At 35.6% G+C, this 21,678-nt stretch overlaps 1 long non-coding RNA gene across 1 annotated transcript in view, besides 2 other annotated features; it reads right to left on the reverse strand.

The window, feature by feature from the left end:
• Positions 1 to 61: 61 nt before the first annotated feature.
• Positions 62 to 21,678, reverse strand: part of LYPLAL1-DT (LYPLAL1 divergent transcript) — a 92,816-nt gene continuing 71,199 nt past the window's right edge. The window contains exons 4-5 of the long non-coding RNA NR_038845.1: positions 5,584 to 5,749; positions 62 to 1,032 (exon numbers count right to left, since the gene is read on the reverse strand). This is a non-coding gene — a long non-coding RNA (LYPLAL1 divergent transcript). The remainder of the gene's footprint in view (positions 1,033 to 5,583; positions 5,750 to 21,678) is intronic.
• Positions 1,320 to 1,389: a silencer, noted in NCBI's record as "silent region_1820". NCBI's record gives its function as "represses an Ori minimal core promoter by ATAC-STARR-seq in GM12878 lymphoblastoid cells {active_cell/tissue: GM12878}" and the evidence as "EXISTENCE:reporter gene assay evidence [ECO:0000049][PMID:35858748]".
• Positions 8,311 to 8,360: an enhancer, noted in NCBI's record as "active region_2542". NCBI's record gives its function as "activates an Ori minimal core promoter by ATAC-STARR-seq in GM12878 lymphoblastoid cells {active_cell/tissue: GM12878}" and the evidence as "EXISTENCE:reporter gene assay evidence [ECO:0000049][PMID:35858748]".

Raw genomic sequence — 21,678 nt, forward strand, 5'->3', positions numbered from 1 at the left:
TCTACCAAACATCTGGATAATAGTGACAGTATTAACAAATTACTTGACAATTCAGAAGTGATTTTCATGTATATTATCTAATTTAATTCTCATTACAATCCTGTGAAGTACATTTCCTGTTACAGATAAAAAAACAATGGTTCATTTTTGTTTTCTTTTGCAAGATCACAGAAATAATAAGAGCTAGGAAGTAAGTTTTCTGAATCTAAATCCCATGATCTTTAGTAGAGTATAACATATAGGGAATAGCCAAATAATTAAGAAACAAATATCAGCTATATTTCAGATAAGCAATCTATTATTTACAGAATTAAGAGTTACATATAACATAGTAAAGTCTCATTCATATGTAATAAAATGTGCTTGTAAAAACATAAAGGTCAATTAGAAAAAGGGTCAAAATTGCAATATTTTAAGACAGTTTTAGTACTAGTAAACATGGTGTGTATGATAAACTAAAAAGTAAATGGACAAGAAGTAAAATACCAGTGAGATTATGCTGGGTCAGATCCAAAGCCAGCACGGCACCGGGTTTCTTGCCTAAGGTCCATGGTGACCACTCCTTGGCTATTGCCAATGTTCACTCAAGGCCCAAGCACTCTTTATTCAGCTGGTGGCAAATCCAGCCAGGCTTGTGTTTTTCCCTTCAGTATGACGAGCTCCCCCTAAGCCCAAGACAAGTCCTAAAATGTCATCTGGGAGCCAGGACCTGGAATCAGGATCCTTAGGAATTTACTTGGTGCTGTATTCTACTATGGCTGAGCTGGCAATCAAGTGCAAGATTAAGCCCTTTATTTTCTTTGTTCTCCTTTCCTCAAGCAGATGGATGCTCTCCCTGTGGTCACCGACACCCCAGGCCTGAGGCAAGTACTGAGACAAGTACTGCCTGGCTACCACCAATGTTCACTCAAGGCCCAATGGCTGCTCAGTCAGCTTATGGTAAATGTTGCCAGTCCTGTGTTTCTGTCTTCAAAGAAGTGGGCTCCCCTCTGGCCCAGGGTGGGTTCAAAAATGCCATCCAGGAGGCAAGGCCTGGAACAAAAGAAGCCCGTTGTTTTTTTTGTTTGTTTGTTTTTTACTGACCTGATACCCAAGATGCAAGACAAACTCGTCTTTACTCTTCCCTCTCCTTTCCTCAAGCAGGAGTCTCTCTGCGTGGCCACCACAGCTGGGAATATACTAGGTCACACCTGAAACCAACACAGCATTGGGTGTCACCCAAGGCCTGTGGTGAGTACTTCCTTGTTACCACTCATGTTTTTTCAAGGCTCAAATGCTGTTTAGTCAGCAGGTGATGTATCCTGCAAGTACAGGGTCTTTCCCTTCAATGCAGAGGGTTCCTTTCTGGCCCAGGGTGTGTCTAGAAATGTCATTTGGAAGTTAGGGCCTAAAATAGGGGCCTCAGGAATTTGTCTGGTGGCCTATTATACTGTAGTTGAGCTGGTATCCAAGTTGCAAGACAATGTCCTCTTTACTCTCTTCCCTCTTCTCTCTTCAAGTGGGAAGAAGGAGCTGTGAGCTGCGCTTCCTGGGGCTGTGGGAGGGTGACACAAGCACTCCCTTAGCCACCCTAGCTGGTGTCTTACTAGGTTGTGTGCACCCCAAGTTCACTGGCTCTGAGCCCAGCACAGCACCAAAACTTGCACAGGAATTGCAGTCCTTGGGGCCTAGACTGCTTTTCAAGTTTATTTAGGACCCCAGAGAGCGTTAGCCTGCAGTGGTGGTAATAGCAGGAACCTAGGTTCCAAACGCTGGCATGGATTATTTTCCTTTGGCTATGGCTGGTCTAAATGTTCCCTCTGTGGTTGCTGGTTGAGTTCTGCACATGTTGCTTTCCACTGTGGCAGGCAGAACTGAATTCCAATGCAAAGTCCCACAATCACTGAGCTGTCTCTCCTGCAAGCACACATATTCTCTCTCCATTCCATATAGCTGCTGCTGATGGATGGAGTTGGGGTGGTGTTGGCTGTTCGAGATTGTCTTTCCTACCCTCTTCAGTGCCTCTTTCCTTGATATGATGTCAAAACTATGTACAATGATCACTCATCTGATTTTTGGTTCCTGTGAAGACTTTTTCTTGTGTAGACAGTTGTTTAATTTGGTGTTCCTGTGGGGAAGACAATTGCTGGAGGGTCCTATTCGGCTATCTTACTCCACCTCCTCCCCAGGGTTTTGTTTTAGCAATGACTATATTACTTTTATTTCTAATAGTTTCATTTTGTTCTTTAGTGTTTATGATCTGTCATTACATTAGGTTATTATTTCTTCTTCAAATATTTTGATAATTTTATATTTTGTTGAAGAACTATGAACATACTTATTAATCTCTTCCAAATTGTTCTATTATCTCTGTTTTTAGTATGTTATTTTCATGCTTTTCTCTGCCTACTCTCTCTCTCAAAATTGTGTCTCTCTAAAAAAAACTTGTGTGTGTGTGTGTGCGTGCGCATCTGTGTCTGTATATGTATACATGTGACATATTATCTTCAGTTGGTGACTGCTTTCCTCTGTTAACTCTCTCTATAGATTGTGTCTCTGTAAAAAATAAATAAGTTGTATATGCACAAAGAGAGATCACTTTCAGTGGGTGATTTATTTTTTCCTTTGTGTGTCCCAAACATCCAGGGATGCAGAATTTTCTTTATAGAGTTATTGAGGTTTTATTGTTTTGCCTCAGTACAGAAGATTCCTCTGGTATCAGACCAGTTTTTAAAAATGAATTTCAAAGCTTATTATTCCTGCTTTATGTATTACTACAAATTTTGACCACATACTTTTGGTGCAGCTTGGGTTCTTGACTTTTCTCTCAGGAGATGATTTATAGCTACTTCCAGAGCCTGGGAAGTCTGTAAGATTGTTTTTGCATTTCGCTAGGGCTGTCTTCAAAATCTTCAAAGATATTTTTTCTAATCCACTATCCTGGAGGGACTCAAGGCTGCATCTGACAGTCTTATGAACTGCTAGGGTATCACTTCAAGGTTCCTTTTGGAACTGAGTTCTTTATTTGTTTCTGGCACTTAGTGATTTCCTTTCTTCCTTTTGAGATTCACTATATTTTTTCTTAATTAATTTACATGGTATTATATGAGGCATTTTTCTGTGTTTATATTTGAAGAGTGATCATACAAAAGGCTTCATGCAAAAATAAATTCTGCTTGTAATTAGTAGTGATTTAGGTTAGAACATTAAATAAGAGGACTGGCTTGAGTAATTATTTCATTCTCTGATTTTATAGTTTAAGATACATTTTCTAGAGCGCCTAACTCCCTATTATACCAAAATATGGAAAGATACATACACCACTTTTTTCCCCATGGCAGACAGCCATAGTGATTCTCTTAAAATTTAAATCAGATCATGTCACTCTCAATGGCTTTCCATCTCATTAAGTACAGAACCCAGTCCTTCACATGCACCTAAAAGGGCCTGCAAATCTGACCCCCTGATAACTCTTTGTCCTCATCTCTTATCTATTAATACTTTCCTGTTAACCCACTTCACTCCAGTCATATTAGGCTGCTTATTGTTCCTTGGAATACTAAGCAAGATACCACCACAGACACTTCAGTCTTGCTATTTCCTCCATTTTGTGTGTATTACGTGAACCATTCACTCTCTAATTTGCCTTAGTACTCTGTTACCTTCCATGGCAACCCAACAAAAAAGAAAAAATAAAAAAACACACGTACACATTCCCTATTCCTCTAACCCTGCTGGGTTCTCCTGCTTTCACAGCACTCATTAGCATCTGACATAATATCCATATACTTGTTTATTTATTTTTCAGCCTCCCCCGTTTGTCATAGACTATACCTTCCAGGAGAACAGATATTTAACATGTTCTTGGTTTTTTATCTGCTGATGTATCTCAGTACCGAGAAAATTACCTGGTACATAAAAAAGCATTCATCTGAGAGATTAAAATAATACTATAATATAATTTATACTTCAAAAAACCTAGACAAATATAAACAAAATTTTTATCAAAATTATTTAAGGAATATATACATACACACATACTTTATTTTTAATTTTAATTTTTAAAATGTTGAATTTAAAGTATGCAAACTTTTAAGAAAGTTTTGAAATATGGATTTTAAAATCCAACTGATCAAAATTTCTGTTAAGTTAAATAGTAATGGAGAAAACTGTGTTCTTTCTTCCTCACAATTTCTTCAAAGAACATTCCATCTTCATCCAATCCACAGAGGATACAAAAATAGCCCCAATAAAGTTTCTTTATCTGAACCATGCCTGATACCCTATTAAAATACAGAAGACTATGACTCAGGGCAGTGATCTCAATATAATTAATCCCAGGAAAGATAATCTAGAGGAAGAAAATGTTACCGCAGTGATTACCCTGTAAACTCAGTTCATGCTGTCTGTGACTCAGAATAAGAATTAAAATGACGATAAGGCACTAAATATTCCAAAGATTTAATGTGAAGTGTTGATGGTTGAGAAAAATGTTTCCTCTTTATATGCATGTACTCAAGCTTTTAATACATATTTCTGTTATGAGTTAGGATTAAGCATTAGAGGAAAGTGCTGTTGAAATGCCGGCTGTACTCTCAAAGCACTAAAACTTAAATAATAATAAATAGCAGAAAACCCAGGGAGAAAATGAAGAAATAAAGTTATTTATAAATCTCTGGTTAGCTAACAGTGCATTACATTTATTTAGCATTAATTAGTAAACAGTAATTTAAAATAAATAGTATTTGAATAAGAAAGAAGATGGAAACAAATAGGCACTTTTTGATAATTAATTTCCCCAATTCAGGTGGAATATCAGTGGCATAGGATGGAAAGAAAAAGGACTTGGAGATGTAGGCAAACCACTTGCTAATTTAGGGGCTTTCGTTACTAATATTATCACATGATATATCAGATAAATATATTCAGCCTGAACCATGAAACAAACCAGGTGTACAATTGGGCCTTTTTTAAAGTTATTTTCATATAAATATATCAGCAACTTCCCACAGTTTGATTAATTTGGCTGCTGACATTAGCCAAAGAATGGACAGTCTACCATTTCATTTATCTGTCACAAATAGAGTGTAAGACAGAGTGAAATAATGCCTAAACATTCGGGTTCCCTTCAGAGGCCAATTTTAAGAAAAATAATTGAGGGAAGGTTATTTCAGCTTCCTCTTCTGCATATCAACTCCTCATCCTTCCCTACTTCACTTTCTACATTTTAGGATAGATAAAGGACACCACAGACAATCTAACAATTTCCTCTAGTCTCTGAGTGAGTAATAACAGAAGCAGTCCAAATGAGGAATTCCTGTTGTTCATCCCCAGATGGATTTCCTTAGGCCACTCTTGTAACACATCTCCCTTGATTTCTACAGATTTTTATGTTGTATGCTAATTTCCATGACTCTTTTACTCACCTGGAAAACAACAGTATCACTATCAGAATTGTTCAACTGGTATGTGACAGCTAAAATTAACACTTCTTCCTTAACTCTGTTTTATTTTGCTCCTCTCAAAAAGCAAACTCCTGTTCCCAGAGATAGTTTAATTTCATTTTTGTACCTGGATACTATTTGTGAGACCCTAATTACTTACCTTTTTTGGCAGACTTTGAATGGCTATGGCACAGGAAATCATCACAATCAGCAAGAAGAGAGATGAATGCAACAGTCAGTGCTTATCTAGGTCACTTCTCCCCAAAATGTCCTCACAGCTCTATTTCACTTAAGTTTGGATGTACCATTTAAGACATCAAAGCATTCTGCAAGTGGGGAAAAAAAAAAACAAGAAATACCTTAAAATGCCAGCTATGTGTGATTTAAAACAAAAAATATTTAAGATGAGGTTAAAAGTTATAAACATTTATGTACGTTATTAGTTCTACATCAACAAAAGAGCACAGTTTCTCTACTGCAAATTAATAGATTATAAAATCAATAGGTTTTTCATGAAAGTAATTAAGAAAAATGGGGGTAGAAACAAATTCAGTCTTTTAAGAATGTTTTGCCTTTAAAACAACTTTCTCTAAAATCACCTAAAATGAAATATAAGTTAACTCTGATTCTATGAGTTCAGTGGAGTTAAATTTAACTTGAAAACATCTTTCATTTCTATAGCTACTTTATTATATTTATACAAGACTGCAAAAAGTTAATTAGGTGATTTAAGTGAATCAACTGTCACATATATTATGAGCTCTGCATGTGTGTATTATGAAGCAATACTGACTATGAGTTCAGCCTTTTACCAACTTATTTAGCCAAGGTTGCTAGAAGTTACTTAATGAGCATGAACACACAAACTTTCAATAAACCTACAAGAAGAAAAGTGGCCCATGACCTAAAAGAACCCCTCTGTTATGCCAGGGGGATGACAAAGTATGTTAAGTCACCAGCCCCTCTGTGTTATGGTGGTTCATGTTGCCAAGGCACGTGTGGCAAATTTGCAGAGTTGGGGCAGTGAATAAGAGAAGGTCAGTTTCTAAAAATTCATCTCACAGAGTATATGAAGTAAAAAGCCTAGGAGAAGTACTTTTCTCAATTAAAACTTAAGAATATATGAATATTTGTGGCTTCTAGAGTTTGACCTCTCAGTACCTAAGCTATTCCTGATTTATACTTGGCAATCTGTATTTATTCTTCAGTTCATAGAATATTAGGGTCAGAAAGAAAGGTTTAAAATCACCCATTGAATATCTGGAAGGCTTAAAGAGTAGCAGTTCAAGAATCAGGCAGAGCTGGCTTGAATTCTGGTTTCACACTTTACAGGCTGTGTGGTATTGAATAAAGTGCTTCAAATATTGAATCCCCAGTTTTCCTATCTGTTAAATGAGGATAATAAATAACACTTCCTGAGGAGAGAAACAGAAGATTAAATAAAATAAAGCAAAAAGTAATATGCTGTAATTCCCTCAGAAGCATTGTGTTTCACAGTTGTCAGAATTCTGAGTTCTAAGCAACAGAAACTGACTTTGGTTACATTAATCAGAAAAGGAATGTATTGGCAAGATATCAATAACTTAGAGAATTAATCAACAGTTGAGAATTAGACTCTGGCAGAAAAATAAGGAAAGCAGGTTATGAGCCTGAAGTCTGCTTAGGACATAGGAATTGATACTGCTGCTACTGGATTCTTGCTGCCACACCAGTAGTCTCTCAAACCTTCCACATTGGCTGGGAAAAATCTCTAACCCTCATTATTCAAAGCTACAGGCAAGAGAATCTTACTAGATAAACTTGAGACATGTATCTGTATGCTATTGTCCAGAGGATAAATAAGAACCCTTGTGCTACATATTGAAAGAGAGGGTCTGTCTCTCACCTTATGATTCCTCCACATAGGAATAGAATGGGATATTAAGCATATCACTAGGCTTTAAAGCAAATCTCAATAAATTTCAAAGACTTAGTGTCAAACATAATACATTCTCTGACCACAATTTCAATTCTGTTAAATTAGAGCTCAGTAAATAAAGGATAAATTTTAACCTCCCTAATATTTCTATAAAGTGTAAAAAATAAATTTGAATGTAACTGAGTCAAAAAGAAACTATAGGGGAAGACACAGAGCAGGTTGGCCTAATAGAACTCTCCAACAATAGTCCCCCTACAGGAACACTAAATCGAACAACTATCCACACAAGAAAGCACTTTTATGAGAACCAAAAATCAAGTGAGTGATCACAGTACCAGGTTCTAACATCATATCAAAGAAAGAGGCATTGAAGAGGTTAGGAAAGATAGTCTTGAATTGCTGATGCTGCGGAGAGGATCTGTGTTCTTGTGGGGGAGAGAGTGCAGTGATGTGGGACTTTGCATTGGAACTCAGTGCAGCCCAGCCACAGTAGAAAACAAGATAAGGCAGAACTCAGCCAGTGCCCATGGAGGGAGTCCTTATATCCGTCCCAGCAAGAGAGGAATTGCCCTTCCCAGTGGTTGGAACTAGAGTTCTGGCTAGCCCCACTACCATGGGCCAAAGCACTCTGGGATACTACATAAACCTCAAAGGCAGTCTAGGCGACAAGGACTGCAATTCCTGGGCAAGTCTTGGTGCGTGCTGGGCTAGAAGGCAGTAGACTTGGGTTGACCTAATGAGACACCAGCCAGGTGGACAAGGGAGTGCTTGCATCACCCCTCCCCCAACCCAGGCAGTGCAGCTCAGTAACCTGGGGGAGACTCCTTCCTTCCGCTGGCAGTAACTAGGCAGTGGTCACCATGGGTCTTGAGCAAGACCCAGTGCTGTGCTATCTTTGGGTGTGACTCAGCACAGTCTCAGTGTGGTAGTCACAGTGGAGCTTGCATCACCCCTCCACAAGAGGAGTACAAGCAAGTGCAGACTGCAAATATTACAATAAATATCTAACTATTCAATGCCCAGACACTCACAAACATCCAAAAGCATCAGGACCATTCAGGAAATCATGACCTCACTAAACAAACTGAAAAAGTCACCACTGATCAATCCAAGAGTGACAGAAAATTCAAAATAGAAATTTTGAGGAAGCTCAATGAAATTTAAGATAACACAGAGAAGGAATTCAGAATCCTATCAGATAAATTTAACGAAGATACTGAAATAATTTTTGAAACATGTAGAAATTCTGAGCTGAAAAATTGAATTGACATACAGAAGAATGCATCAGAGTCTCCCAACAGCAGAACTGATCAAGCAGAAGAAAGAATCAGGCTATTTGAAAATACACAGTCAAAAGAAACAAAAGAATAGAAAAGAATGAAGCTTGCCTATAAGTTCTAGAAAATATCTCAAAAGGGCAAATTAAGATTTACTGGCCTTAAAGAGGAGGTACAGAGATCAAGGTATAAATTTTATTCAAAGAGATAATAACAGATAACTTTTCAAACCTAGAGAAATATATCAAAATTCAAGTATAGATGGGTTGTAGAACATCAAGTAGATTTCATCCAAATAAAACTACCTCAAGACATTTAATAATCAAACTTCCAAAGGTCAAGGATAAAGAAAGGATTCTAAAAGCAGCAAGAGAAAAGACACAAATAACATACCTTACAATCTAGGAGAGAGTGGCATTACATATTTAAAGTGCTGAAGGAAAAAAGACTTTTATCCTAGAAGAGTACACCCAGTGAAAATACCCATTAAACATGAAGAAGAAATAGGCTTTCCCAGACAAACAAAAGCTGAGGGATTTCATCAACACCAGAACTGCCCTACAAGAAATGCTAAAGGGAGCTGTTCAATCTAAAATGAAAGGACACTAATGAGCAATAGGAAGTCATCTGAAGGTACAAAACTCACTGGTAATAGTAAGTACACAAACAAACACACAATATTATAACACTGTAATTGTGGTACGTGAACTATTGATATCTTGAATACGAAGACTAAAAGATAAACCTATCAAAAATAATAACTACAACTTTTAAGACATAGTATAATAAAACGTAGATGGAAGCAACAAAAAGTTAGAAAGCAGGGGGATTAAGTTAAAGTGTAGAGCTTTTATTAGTTTTCTCTTTCGTTGTTGTGAGTTTGGATTGTTTTGTATCCAGTGCTAAGTTGTGATCAGTTTAAAATAATGAGTTCTAAGATGTTATTTCCAAACCTCATGGTCACCTCAAATCATAAAACCTACAACAGATACACAAAAAACTGAAAATCAGTAAATTAAAACAACCCACCAAAAAAAATTAACTTCCCAAAAAGGAATACAGGGAAGAAGGAAGGAAGAAAGAGAAGAGCACACATAAAACACCCAGAAAACAAATAACAAAATGGCAGTAGTAAGTCCTTACTTACTAATAATAACATTGAATGTAAATGGACTAAACTCTCCAATCACAAGACATAGAGAGCCTGAACAATAACAATAATAAAAAAACAAGCTCTAACAATCTGGTAACTATAAGAAACACGCTTCACTTATAAAGACTAACTTAGACTTAAAATATAGGAACTGAAAAATATTGCATGAAAATGGAAACAAAAAAAGCAGAAGTAGCTATATTTACATCAGACAAAATAGATTTCAAAACAAAAACTATAAACAGAGACAAAGAAGGTCATTATATAATGATAAAGAAGTCAACTTAGCAAGAGGGTGTAACACTTGTAAATATATATACATTCAACACTGGAACACTCAAACATATTAAGTAAATATTATTAGAGCTAAAGAGAGAGATAGACCCTAATACAATATTAGCTGGAGACTTCAACACCCCACTTTCAGCATTGGACAGAACCACTACACAGAAAACCACCACCAACAACAACATTGGACTTAATCTACATTATATACCAAATGGACCTAATATATATTTACACAATCTTTCATTTAAGAGCTGCAGAATACACGTTCTTCTCCTCAAGGCATGGCTCATTCTTAAGGATAGATCACATGTTAGAACAAAAAACAAGTCTTAAAAAATTAAAAAATTGAAAAAATATCAAGTGTCTCATCTTTCCAGTTTTATTCTCAATGGAATAAAACTAGAAATAAATAATTAGAAAAATATCAGAAACTATACAAACACATGGAAAATAAACAATATGCTCTAGAGTGACCAGTGGGTCAATGAAGAAATTAAGAATAAAATTTAAAAATTCCTTGAAACAAACAAAAATGGAAACACAATATATCAAAACCTATGGAATGCAGCAAAAGCAATACTAAGAAGAAAGCTTATAGCAATAAGCACTCCACATCAAAAAAGCAGATAATCCTCAAATTAACAACCTAATGATGCATCTTAAAGAACTAGAAAACAAAGAGCAAACCAAAGCCAATATTAGTAGGAGAAAAGAAATAATAAAGATCAAAGCAGAAATAAATGAAATTGAAACAAAACAAACAATACAAAATATCAATTAAACAAAAAGGTGGCTTATTTTAAAAAAATAAAATTGATAAACATTTAGCCAAAGACATAAAGATAGAAGACCCAAATAAATAAAATGAGAGATAAAAAGGAGGTATTACAACTGATACTGCAGTTCAGAGAATCATTAGAGACTACTATGAGCAACTACATGCCAGTAAATTGGAAAACCTAGAAGAAATAGATTGAATCCTAGACACATACAACCTACCAAGACCGAATCATGAAGATTTCCAAAATCTAAATAGACCAATAACAAGTAATGAGTTCAACACCATATTAAAAAGTATCCCAGTAAAGAAAAATCAGAGACCCAAAGCCTTCAACTGCTAAATTTCACCCAAAATTTAAAGAACTAATATTAATCTAATCCTATTCAAACAATTCCAAAAAAATAAAGAAGCAAATACTTCCTTACTCATTCTGTGAGGCCAGTATTACCCTGATACCAAAATCAGACAGAGACATCAAAATAAGAAAACTACAGGCCAATGTTCCACATGAATACTGATGCAAAAATCCTCAACAAAATACTCACAAACCAAATTCAACAACACATTTAAAAGATAATTCATCATGACCAAGAGGGATTTATGCCAGGGATGCAAGAATGATTCAGCAAATGCAAATAAATCAATGTGATATATCATTTCAAAAGAATGAAGGACAAAAACATGCAATCATTTCAACCGAAGGTAAAAAGCATTAGATAAAATTCAACCTCCTTTCATAATAAAAGCCCTAAAAATGTGGTATAGAAGTATATATCTCAACACAATAAAAACCATATATGACAGACACACAGCTAGCATCACACTGAATACAGAAAAACTGAAAACTTTTTCTCTAAGATCTGGAACAAACCGAAACATCCACTTTCACCACTATTATTCAACATAGTACTGGAAGTTCTAGTTAGAGCAATCAGACAAGAAAAAGATATAAAGAACATCCAAATTGAAAAGAAGTAAGTCATCTTTGTTTGCAGATGATATGGTCTTATATCTGAAAAATACCTAAAGACCTTAACAAAAATCTATTAGAACCAATAAACAAATTCAGCAAAGTTGAGGGATACAAAATCAACATATAAAAATCAATAGTATTTACATATTACATCAGTGAACAATCTGAAAAAGAAATCAAGAAAGTAATCCCAGTTACAATAGCTACAAATAAAATAACATACCTAGAAATGAATTTAACTAAAGAATTTAAAGATATCTACAATGCACTCTATAAAACATTGATGCAAGACATTGAGGAGACCAGAAAAAAATGAAAAGATACTCTATGCTCATGGATTGGAAGAATCAATATTGTTAAAATGTCTGCACTATTCAAAGTAATCTACAGATTCAGTGCAATCATTATTAAAATACCAATACAATCTTCACATTAATAGAAAAAAATCATTCCAAAATTCATGTGAAATCACAAAAGACCCAGAATAGCCAAAGTCATTCTGAGCAAAAAGAACAAAATGAGAGGAAGCACATTCTCTGATTTTGAATTATTCTATAGAGCTATAGTAACCAAAACAGCATGGTACTGGCATAAAAACAGACACATAGACCAAAGAAACAGAATAGATAAATCAGAAACAAATCCATACAGCTATGTTGAATTTATTTTTGACAAAGGCGCCAAGAACATACAGTGGAGAAAGACAATCTCTTAAATAAATTGTGCTAGGAAAACTAGACGTCTATAGGCAGAAGAATGAAGCTAGAACCCTATTTTTCATCATCTACAAAAATCAAATCAAAATGTATTAAAGAGCTAAATCTAAGACCTAAGACTATTAAACTATCAAAAGAAAACATTGGGAAAACTCCACAGGACATTGGTCTGGGCAAAGGTTTCTTGAATAACACCTCAAAAACAGAGATAACCATAGCAAAAATGGGCAAATGGGATCACATCAAGTTAAAAAGCGTCTGCACAGAAAAAAAATTTAACAAAGTGAAGAGACAACCCACAGAATGGGAGAAAAATTTTCAAACTATCCATCTGTCAAGGAATTTATAACCAGAATATATAAGGAGCTCAAACAATTGGAAAAAAATCTAATAATCCAATTTAAAAATGGGCAAAATGTCCAAATAGTCATTTCTCAAAAGAAGACATATAAATGGCAAATAGGTATGTGAAAAGATGCTCAACATCACTGATCATCAAATAAATGCAAATCAAATATCATCTTATCCCACTTAAAATGGCTTTTATCCAAAATAAAGGCAATAATGAATGCTGGCAAGGATGTGGAGAAAAGGGAATCCTCAAACACCATTGGTGAGAATGTACATGGGTTTAGCCACTATAGAGAACAGTATGGTGGTTCTTCAAAAAACTAAATATAGAACTACTAAATGATCCAGCAGTTCCCCTTCTGAATATTTATCCAAAGAAAATGAAATCAGTGTGTTGAAGATATTTCTGTACTCCCATATGTATTGCTGCACTATTCACAATATTCAAATTTAGAAGCAACCTAAGTTTCCATCAACAGGCAAATGGACATAGAAAATGTGGTACACATACACAATGAAGTATAATTCAGCCTTAAAAAATAAGATCCTGTCATTTGCCAAGATATGGATGGAACATTATGTTAAATGAAACAAGCCAATCACCAAAAGACAAACTTCACATGTTCTCCCTTATTTTTGATAGTTGAAACTTAAAACAATTTAACTCATGGTAATAGAGAGTAAAATAATCGTTACCAGAGGTTGGGAAGGAAATGAGTACAAAAATATAGTTAGAATGAATAAGATCTAGTATTTGATAGCACAGCATGATGACTATAGTCAATAATTTGTACATTTTTAAATATCATAAGAGTATAACTGGAATGTTTGTAACACAACAAAGTAATAAATGCTTGAGATGATGATACTCCATTTACCTTGATGTGATTATTACCCATTGTATTCCTTTATCAAAATGTCTGATATGCCCCATAAACATATATACCTACTATGCATTCCTAAAAAATAAAAATAGAAAATAGAAAACCATTGATAAGTTAAGATACCTCATAAAAAATTAACCATAATAGGAATTATAAAATACTTAGATAAGAATGAAAATATCAAAGCAAGAGATAAAGCAGAATTGATATTTTGAGGAAAAATTTATAGCTTTAAAGTGCTTATTTTTTGAAAAAGATAAATGCTGAAAATTAATGATGTAATTGTCATGTTAAAAAAAATAGAATGAATGTATCAATGCCAATCAATGAACAGAAAACAGATATAATAGGAAATATAAATAAATCAGAAGTTGGTTACATTGAAATAAAAAATATAAACCTCTGATAACTTAATCAAAAAGATAAAGAAATCTCAATGAAAAATTTTAAAAATGAAAATGTGGGTATATCACAAACATAACAGGGATTTTTAAAACATGAAAGCAAAATAAAATACATAAAAACAATAAATTTCAATTTAGATAAAGAAAATTTCTAAAAATAAAACCATACCAAACTTACTCAAGACACAAACTGAGAGCCTGTATTAATCTTGTGTATACTGAAGAGAATGAATTGGGGGTTGAAAATCTTCCTAAAAAGAAAATATCACACTAAGATTGTTTAGTTGATTTACAAGGAGCAGCCATTCTATTGTATTGCAATTCTAGAATATGGAAAAAGAGGGGCTATTTCTCAACTCTTTCTATAAGGTCAGTATTCCCCTAGTATCAAAACCACACAAACACAATAGAGAAGATAATTGTGGGTGAGTCTCACTCACAAAAAGATTTAAGTTTTTGTTAAAAATACTACAAAACTAAATTTAACAAGCTAAAAAAATACAAGCACATATAACCAAGTTGGGGTTTATCACAAACTTGCAAGGCAGTTTAAATCAGAAAATCAATAAATGCCATTAAGCAAATAAACAGAATAAATTTTGAAATGTTTTATTCTATATGAAGAATAATAATTTATAAAATTTAACCTACCATCATGATGATACCTCTTACCAAACAGTAGCAAGAAAGGACTTCCTTAGTCTTATAATGTATGTCTACCAAAAATGAGACATCTTTCAGTATGGAGAAGCATTAGAAGAGTTCCCTTTAGAATTAATACAAGTATATTTCATATTACAATTTTTACTCAACATTCTCCTTTAAGTTTAGTTAGCATGTAATTCAAGAAAATGCAAATAAATGGATAAGAATTAGAAAGGAAAAAATTCAAAATTATCATAATTTTCAAGTGATATCGGTTGCTTTCAAAATCTCAGATTATCCAATGATATGGTTTGGCGATGTCCCCACCCAAATTTCTTCTTGAATTGCAGCTCCCATAATCCCCACATGTCATGGGAGAGACCTGGTGGGAGGTAATTGAATAAAGGGGGCTGGTTTCCCCATGCTGTTGTTGTGATAGTGAAACAGTCTCATGAGATCTCATGGTTTTATAAAGGGCAGTTCCCCTGCACACACTCTCTTGCCTGCCATCATGTAAGATGTGGTTGCTTCTCCTTTGCCTTCTGCCATGATTGTGAGGTCTTCCAAGCCATGTGGAACTGTAAGTCCATTAAATTTCTTTTTCTTTATAAATTACCCAGTCTCAGATATATCTTCATAGCAGTATGAAAATGGACTAATACAGCAAATTGGTACTGGTAGAATGGGGTACTGCTATTAAGATACCAGAAAATGTGGAAGCAACCTTGGAACAGGCAGAGGTTGGAACAGTTTGGAAGGCTTAGAAGAAGACAGGGAGATGTGGGAAAGTTTGAAGCTTCCTAGAGACTTGTTGAATGGTTTTGACCAAAATGCTGATAGTGATATGGCCGATGAATTCCAGGCTGAGGTAGTCTCAGATGGACATAAGGAACTTACTGGGAACTGGGACAAATGTGATTCTTCTCATGCTTTAGCAAAGAAACTGGTGGCATTTTTCTCCCTGTCTTAGAGATCTGTAGAATTTTGAACTTGAGAGGGATGATTTAGGGTATCTGGTGGAAGAAATTTCTAAGCAGCAAAGCATGCAAGAGGTGACTTTGGTGCTCTTAAAAGCAACTATTAATTGCCAAGGCACTGGGGAAAATGCCTCTAAGGCATGTCAGAGGTCTTCACAGCATCTCCTCCCATCACAGGTCTGTAGGCCTAGGAGGAAAATATGGTTTCATGGGCCAGGCCCAGGGCCTTGCTGGTTTGTATAGTCTCAAGACTTGGTGCCCTGTGTCCCACCCATGCCTTAAGGGGACCAATGTACAGCTCAGGCTGTTGCTTCAGAGGGTGCAGACCCCAAGCCTTGGTGGCTTACACGTCATGTTGGCCCTGTGGGTACACAGAAATCAAGAACTTAGGTTTGGGAACCTCCTCCAAGATTTCAGAGGATGTATAGAAATGGCCGGATGTCCAGGCAGAGGTGTGTTGCACAGGAGGAACCCTCAGGGAGAAGCTCTGCTAGGACAGTGCAGAAGGGAAATGTGGGATGGGAGTCCCCACACCGAGTCCCCACTGGTGCACTGCCTAGTGAAGCTGTGAGAAGAGGGTCACCATTCTCCAGACCTCACAATGGTAGATTCACCAACAGCTTGCACCATGCATGCACCTGGAAAAGCTGCAGACACTCAATGCCAGCTCGTGAAACCATCCAGGAGTGGGGTTATAACCTGCAAAGCCACAAGGGTGGAGCTTCCCAAGGCTGTGGGACCCCACCTCTTACATCAGTGTGACCTGGATGTGAGACATGGAGTCAAAGGAGATCATTTTGGAGCTTTAAGATTTTACTGCCCAGATGGATTTTGGACTTGCATGGAGCCTGTTGCCCCTTTGGTTTGGCTAATTTCTTCCATTTGTAACAGGTCTATTTACCCAATACCTGTACCCTCATTGTATCCAGGAAGTAACTAACTTGTTTTGATTTTATAGGCTTTGGACTTGGACTTTGGAGTTAATGCTCAAATGAGTTAAGACTCTGGGGGACTGTTGGAAGGGCATAATTGTATTTTGAATTGTGAGGACATGAGATTTGGGAGGGGCAAGGGGTGTAATGATATAGTTTGCCTGTGTCTCCAACCAAATCTCATCTTGAATTGTAGCTTTCATAATCCCCAGGTGTCATAGGAGAGACCCAGTGGGAGGTAATTGAATCATGGGGTTGGGTTATCCTCTGCCATTCTATGTTAGTAAATAAGTCTCATGAGATCTATTGGTTTTATAAAAAGAAGTTCCTCTGCATATACTCTCTTGCCTGCTGCCTTGTAAGACTTGCCTTTCTCCTCCTTTGCCTTCCTCCATGACTGTGAGGCCTCCTTAGCCATGTGGAACTCTGAGTCCATTAAACCTCTTTTTCTTTATAAATTACCCAGTCTCAGGTGTTTCTTCATAGCAGTATGAAAATGGACTAATACATCCAAAGACAAATAATCAGAAATCATAAGGGTGTTTAGCAAGAGAGCTAGCTATAAGATCAATAGGCAAAAATCAATATATGTCCTCAGTAGGAAATATAATTTTAAAAGGTGACATTTTCATAGCAGCAATGAAAACTATATAAAACCTGAGAATAAATCTAATGAAATGTAGACAGTACCTATATGCAGAAAATTATAAAAATCTGCTAAAGAAATGTAAGAAAAAAAAAAGAACTTGGAGACAGACATGAGTTTTGGGATAAGAAGACTTAAAACTGTAAGGACATTAATGCTTGCCAAATCTAGAGTGGAGTCAAGTGGAACTTGACAAGCTAATAATAAAGTTTATGTGAAAGAGCAAAGGATCAAGAATAACCAAGACATTCTGAAACAAAAGAAGAAAATAAGTAAATTACCCTGCAGATATTTAGATATATTATTTTAAAACTACAAAGTAGGACACTGAGCAAGTCAGAGAAAGAAAACTTCACCAATGAAATGAAATTAAATATAAGATAGACCCAATATTTATGAAACATTCATATATGACAAATACGTATTGCAGGTCAGTAGAGAAAGGGACTCATCAGTAAATGGTAGTATGATTGTCATTATCCAGAAAGGAAAATATTTTTTAAAAATCTAGGTAGGTAAGAAATTCAATGTGAAAAACAGCATTAAGTTGAAAATATAGGAGAATATCTTTCTGACCTTTGGTTAAGGAAGGCTTTTTACATAAAATACAAAAATCACTAATCAAAAGAATATGATAAACTTAACTACATTAAAATTAAGAACATATGTTCAGCAAAAGATATGTCAGTGAAAGAAAGATTGTAAAAAACCAGCCATAAACCAAGGGAAAATATTTGTAACATACATTATTAACAAAGAGTTCAAATTAAGTATTTGTAAAGAATTCCCACAAATTAATAATAAAAACAAACAAATTAATAGATAAACTGACACAAATATATATTTCATGGATAAGGAATTGCTAGATATACAAGATGCTTCCTCTCATTTGCAATCAGAGAAATGAATATTAAGAATGAGAAACTTTATATCTGAGAGATAGGCAAAAATTAAGAAGTCTGACTACATCTAGTGTTGGAGTGAGTAATTTATATACATTGCTTTTGAAAGCATAAATGTGTACAACTGCATTGGTAAACTGTGTATCATTATTTTCCAAAGTTGAGCATTGTATATACCATAACTCAGAAATTCCACTCCTAGGTATATATCCTAGAAAAACTATTCAAATGACTGCAAGATATGTAAAATGTGTATACCAGTACTCTTTATATTATCAGAAAACTGAAAGTCACCCAGAGTCTAACAGGAAATAGATGAAAAATTGTGGTGCTGTCACATATTTGAATATTGTATGACAGTGAAAATGAAAAAAATTTCTACTGTGTGCAGTAACATATATAAACCGCAGAAGCCTATGTTCAATAAAAATCATCAAGACTCAGAAGACTACATACAATATAATGCTGAAAACAACCCAATAGTCCCATAGATAGTTGTTTGGGTAAACATAGAAATTGACTCTTATGGTCTTAAAGCTTGAACCTTACATCTGTTCGATCTGAGTTCCTTCCTCAGTAAATGACCTTCAAGCCTCTCAAAGTACCAAAGAACTGAAGCTCACCAGAGCACCACATCCAGACAATGAGATGCCAGATCCTTCATTCATTATGATTGCTTGCTTGCCCCTCCCTAGTTCTTGTTTCTTGCATATTGTTGCATTTGTTCCCTACTATATAAACCCATAGTTTTAGTCAGTCAGGCAGATGGATTTGAGACTGAGCTCCCATCTCGTCAGCGGCAGCATCCAATTAAAGCGTTCTTCCTTGTCAATAATTGGCATCTCAGTGAATGGCTTTCTGTGTGGCAAGCGACAGGACCTAAACCGAACCTCTGCTTTTTCAGTAACAATATTATGTGTGTAGAAATGTAAAACAAGCTCAACTAAATATACAGCTACTTTAGGCATACATGCATTTGTGATAACAATACTATTTAAAGAGGATGAAGAGGCTGGGCATGGTGGCCCATGTTTATAATCCCAGCACTTTGGGAGGCCAAGGCAGGAGGATTGCTTGAGGCCAAGAGTGGAGCCCAGCCTGGGCAACAGTGTGAGATCCTGTTTCTACATTTTGTTTTTTAATTAGCTGGTTGTGGTGGTGTGTGCCTATAGTCCCAGCTACTCCAGAGGCTGAGGCTGGAGGATCACTTGAGTCCAGGAGTTGGGGGTTAAAGTGAGCTATGGTCATGTTTCTGCAGTTTGGCTTGGGTGACAGAGCAAGACCCTGTCTGTAAAAAAAAAAAATAAGTCAAAAGGAAGAAGAAACAAAAAATTCACAGGGAATGTGGGGAAAGTGCAGAGACTGTGAAAGAGATCCACAATGTGTAGATACAATTTTAAAGCCCTCCTTGGTATTTTTCTAAATTAAGAAGTATTATCCAGTAAAAAATGCTTTTTAATCAAGCAATATTCTTTTATAATATATTCTTCTCGTGCACTCCAATGTCCTCTTCTCTCTCCTCTTCTGGCTACAGTTGCACCAGGAAGCTGAGGCAGAGACAAGGTGAACATAACTGTAAATGGTAAAAAAAAGAATAAAAAAAGAAATAAATACTTCAAAGAGAGTTAGCAAATAAACCATCCCACATTTGGTTGACTTTTGGTGAATTATCCTAGAACTAGGGAAGATCAAAAGCAGAGATTACAGTCTGGAGGCTATTGCAACGTTCCAGGTAAGAGATGATGGTGGCCTGGAGTAGAATAAAATGGTAAATGTGGAGGAAAATGAAAAGATTCAAGAGGCATTTTGTAATTGTTGTCATGTCTGTCCTTAGAGTCACAGCAGTTGCAGTAATAATGCTAGAAACATTTTAAGCATAGTGATCATCCAATCCAACTGACAGTGTCTCCGGTTGCCAACAAAGAGGTGAACGGGCACTAGCATCACTCCATCCCAGGGTAATTACATCATTTGGTCATCAGCTACTGTATTCATCTCCTCAAAGGTGTTGTGATCTCAAAGCTTATTCTATATGTTTTCTTTATTTCATTTAACTGACTTTGCTGACCCTTGATCCAGTTCTTATTTCTCCACTGAATTCTGAAACTCTTGAATCTTCTCCTTTGCAGTCAGCCAACTCTCTTAATCCTCTACTATTGTTCAGAATGTTCCCTTTATTTTAACAGCTTTATTAAGGTGTAATTGTTATGCACAAAAAGCTGCACATAATTAATATATAAAATTTGATAGGTTTTAACATGGGGTGTTTTTCCATTTATTTGGTTTTCTTTAATTTCTTTCAGCATTTTTTTGTAGTTTTCAATGTACAGGTCTTTCACTTCTTCATTTAAGTTTATGCCTAAGTATTTTATTATTCTTGATGCTATCATAAATAGAATTATAAACCAAAAGTAAAAATTTAAGCCCCCCAACTGACTGAATGGACCCTTTCTCTTGGCCAAGAAGATTCCAAAAAAAATCTGAAAAACTAGTTCAGGCCATGATGGGAAGGGGGTTCAGTTATGCCTCATTATACTCTCCTTCCTTTGGAATTCAGGCACAAATGACCAGCATTAACATTAAAACAGAGATCTTTACACTGACAACCTGATTATTTGTAGCAATATGATACCAAATTCAATCCGATCCTAGCAGAGCATCACATGACAAATAGCAGGCCCTAAAGGAAATTGAGTATTTAATCTCAAAATATACTTATTTGACATATGTTGAAGTGGCCTGGCAAAGCTCTCTCGTGGGGGAAATTTACATTTTGTAGAGAACTGCAGGTCTCTTTCTGAGCCGGAGGAGATTAGTTGAGAATCTACCACCCTTAAAAGGACTGAATTAGAAAATATTTGCCATCTATTGCCTCTAAGGGTGGCTGCCTTTGAGACTTCATCTACATAATAAGAACCTTCATCTCCACAACCACTCATCTTAACCCAGACACTCCTTTCTATTGATTCCAGGTCTTTAAATAATGACTCTTTCAACCAATTGCCAATCAGAAAATCTTTGAATCCGCCTATGACCTGGAAGTCCCTGTTTTGAGTTCTTCCACCTTTCTGAACCAAAAAAAATGTATATCCTACAGGTATTGATTGATGTCTTATGTCTCCATGAAACATATACAATTAACCTGTAACCCAACCACCTTGGGCACATGTTTTCAGGACCTCTTGAGACTATGTCTTGGGCCTTGTTCACTGATATTTGGCTCAGAATAAATCTCTTTAGATATTTTACACAGTTTGGCTTTTTCATCAATATAATCATTTTCTTCATTTCCTTTTCAGAGAGTTTAATGTTGTTATATAGAAATGCAAATAATTTTTGTATGTTGTTTTTATTTCCTGTAACTCTTATACATTTAACTTGAACACCATCCAAATTATTGGTGTATAA

The sequence above is a fragment of the Homo sapiens genome, chromosome 1 (assembly GCF_000001405.40).
Source record: "Homo sapiens chromosome 1, GRCh38.p14 Primary Assembly".
In the NCBI taxonomy this organism is placed as follows: domain Eukaryota; kingdom Metazoa; phylum Chordata; class Mammalia; order Primates; family Hominidae; genus Homo; species Homo sapiens.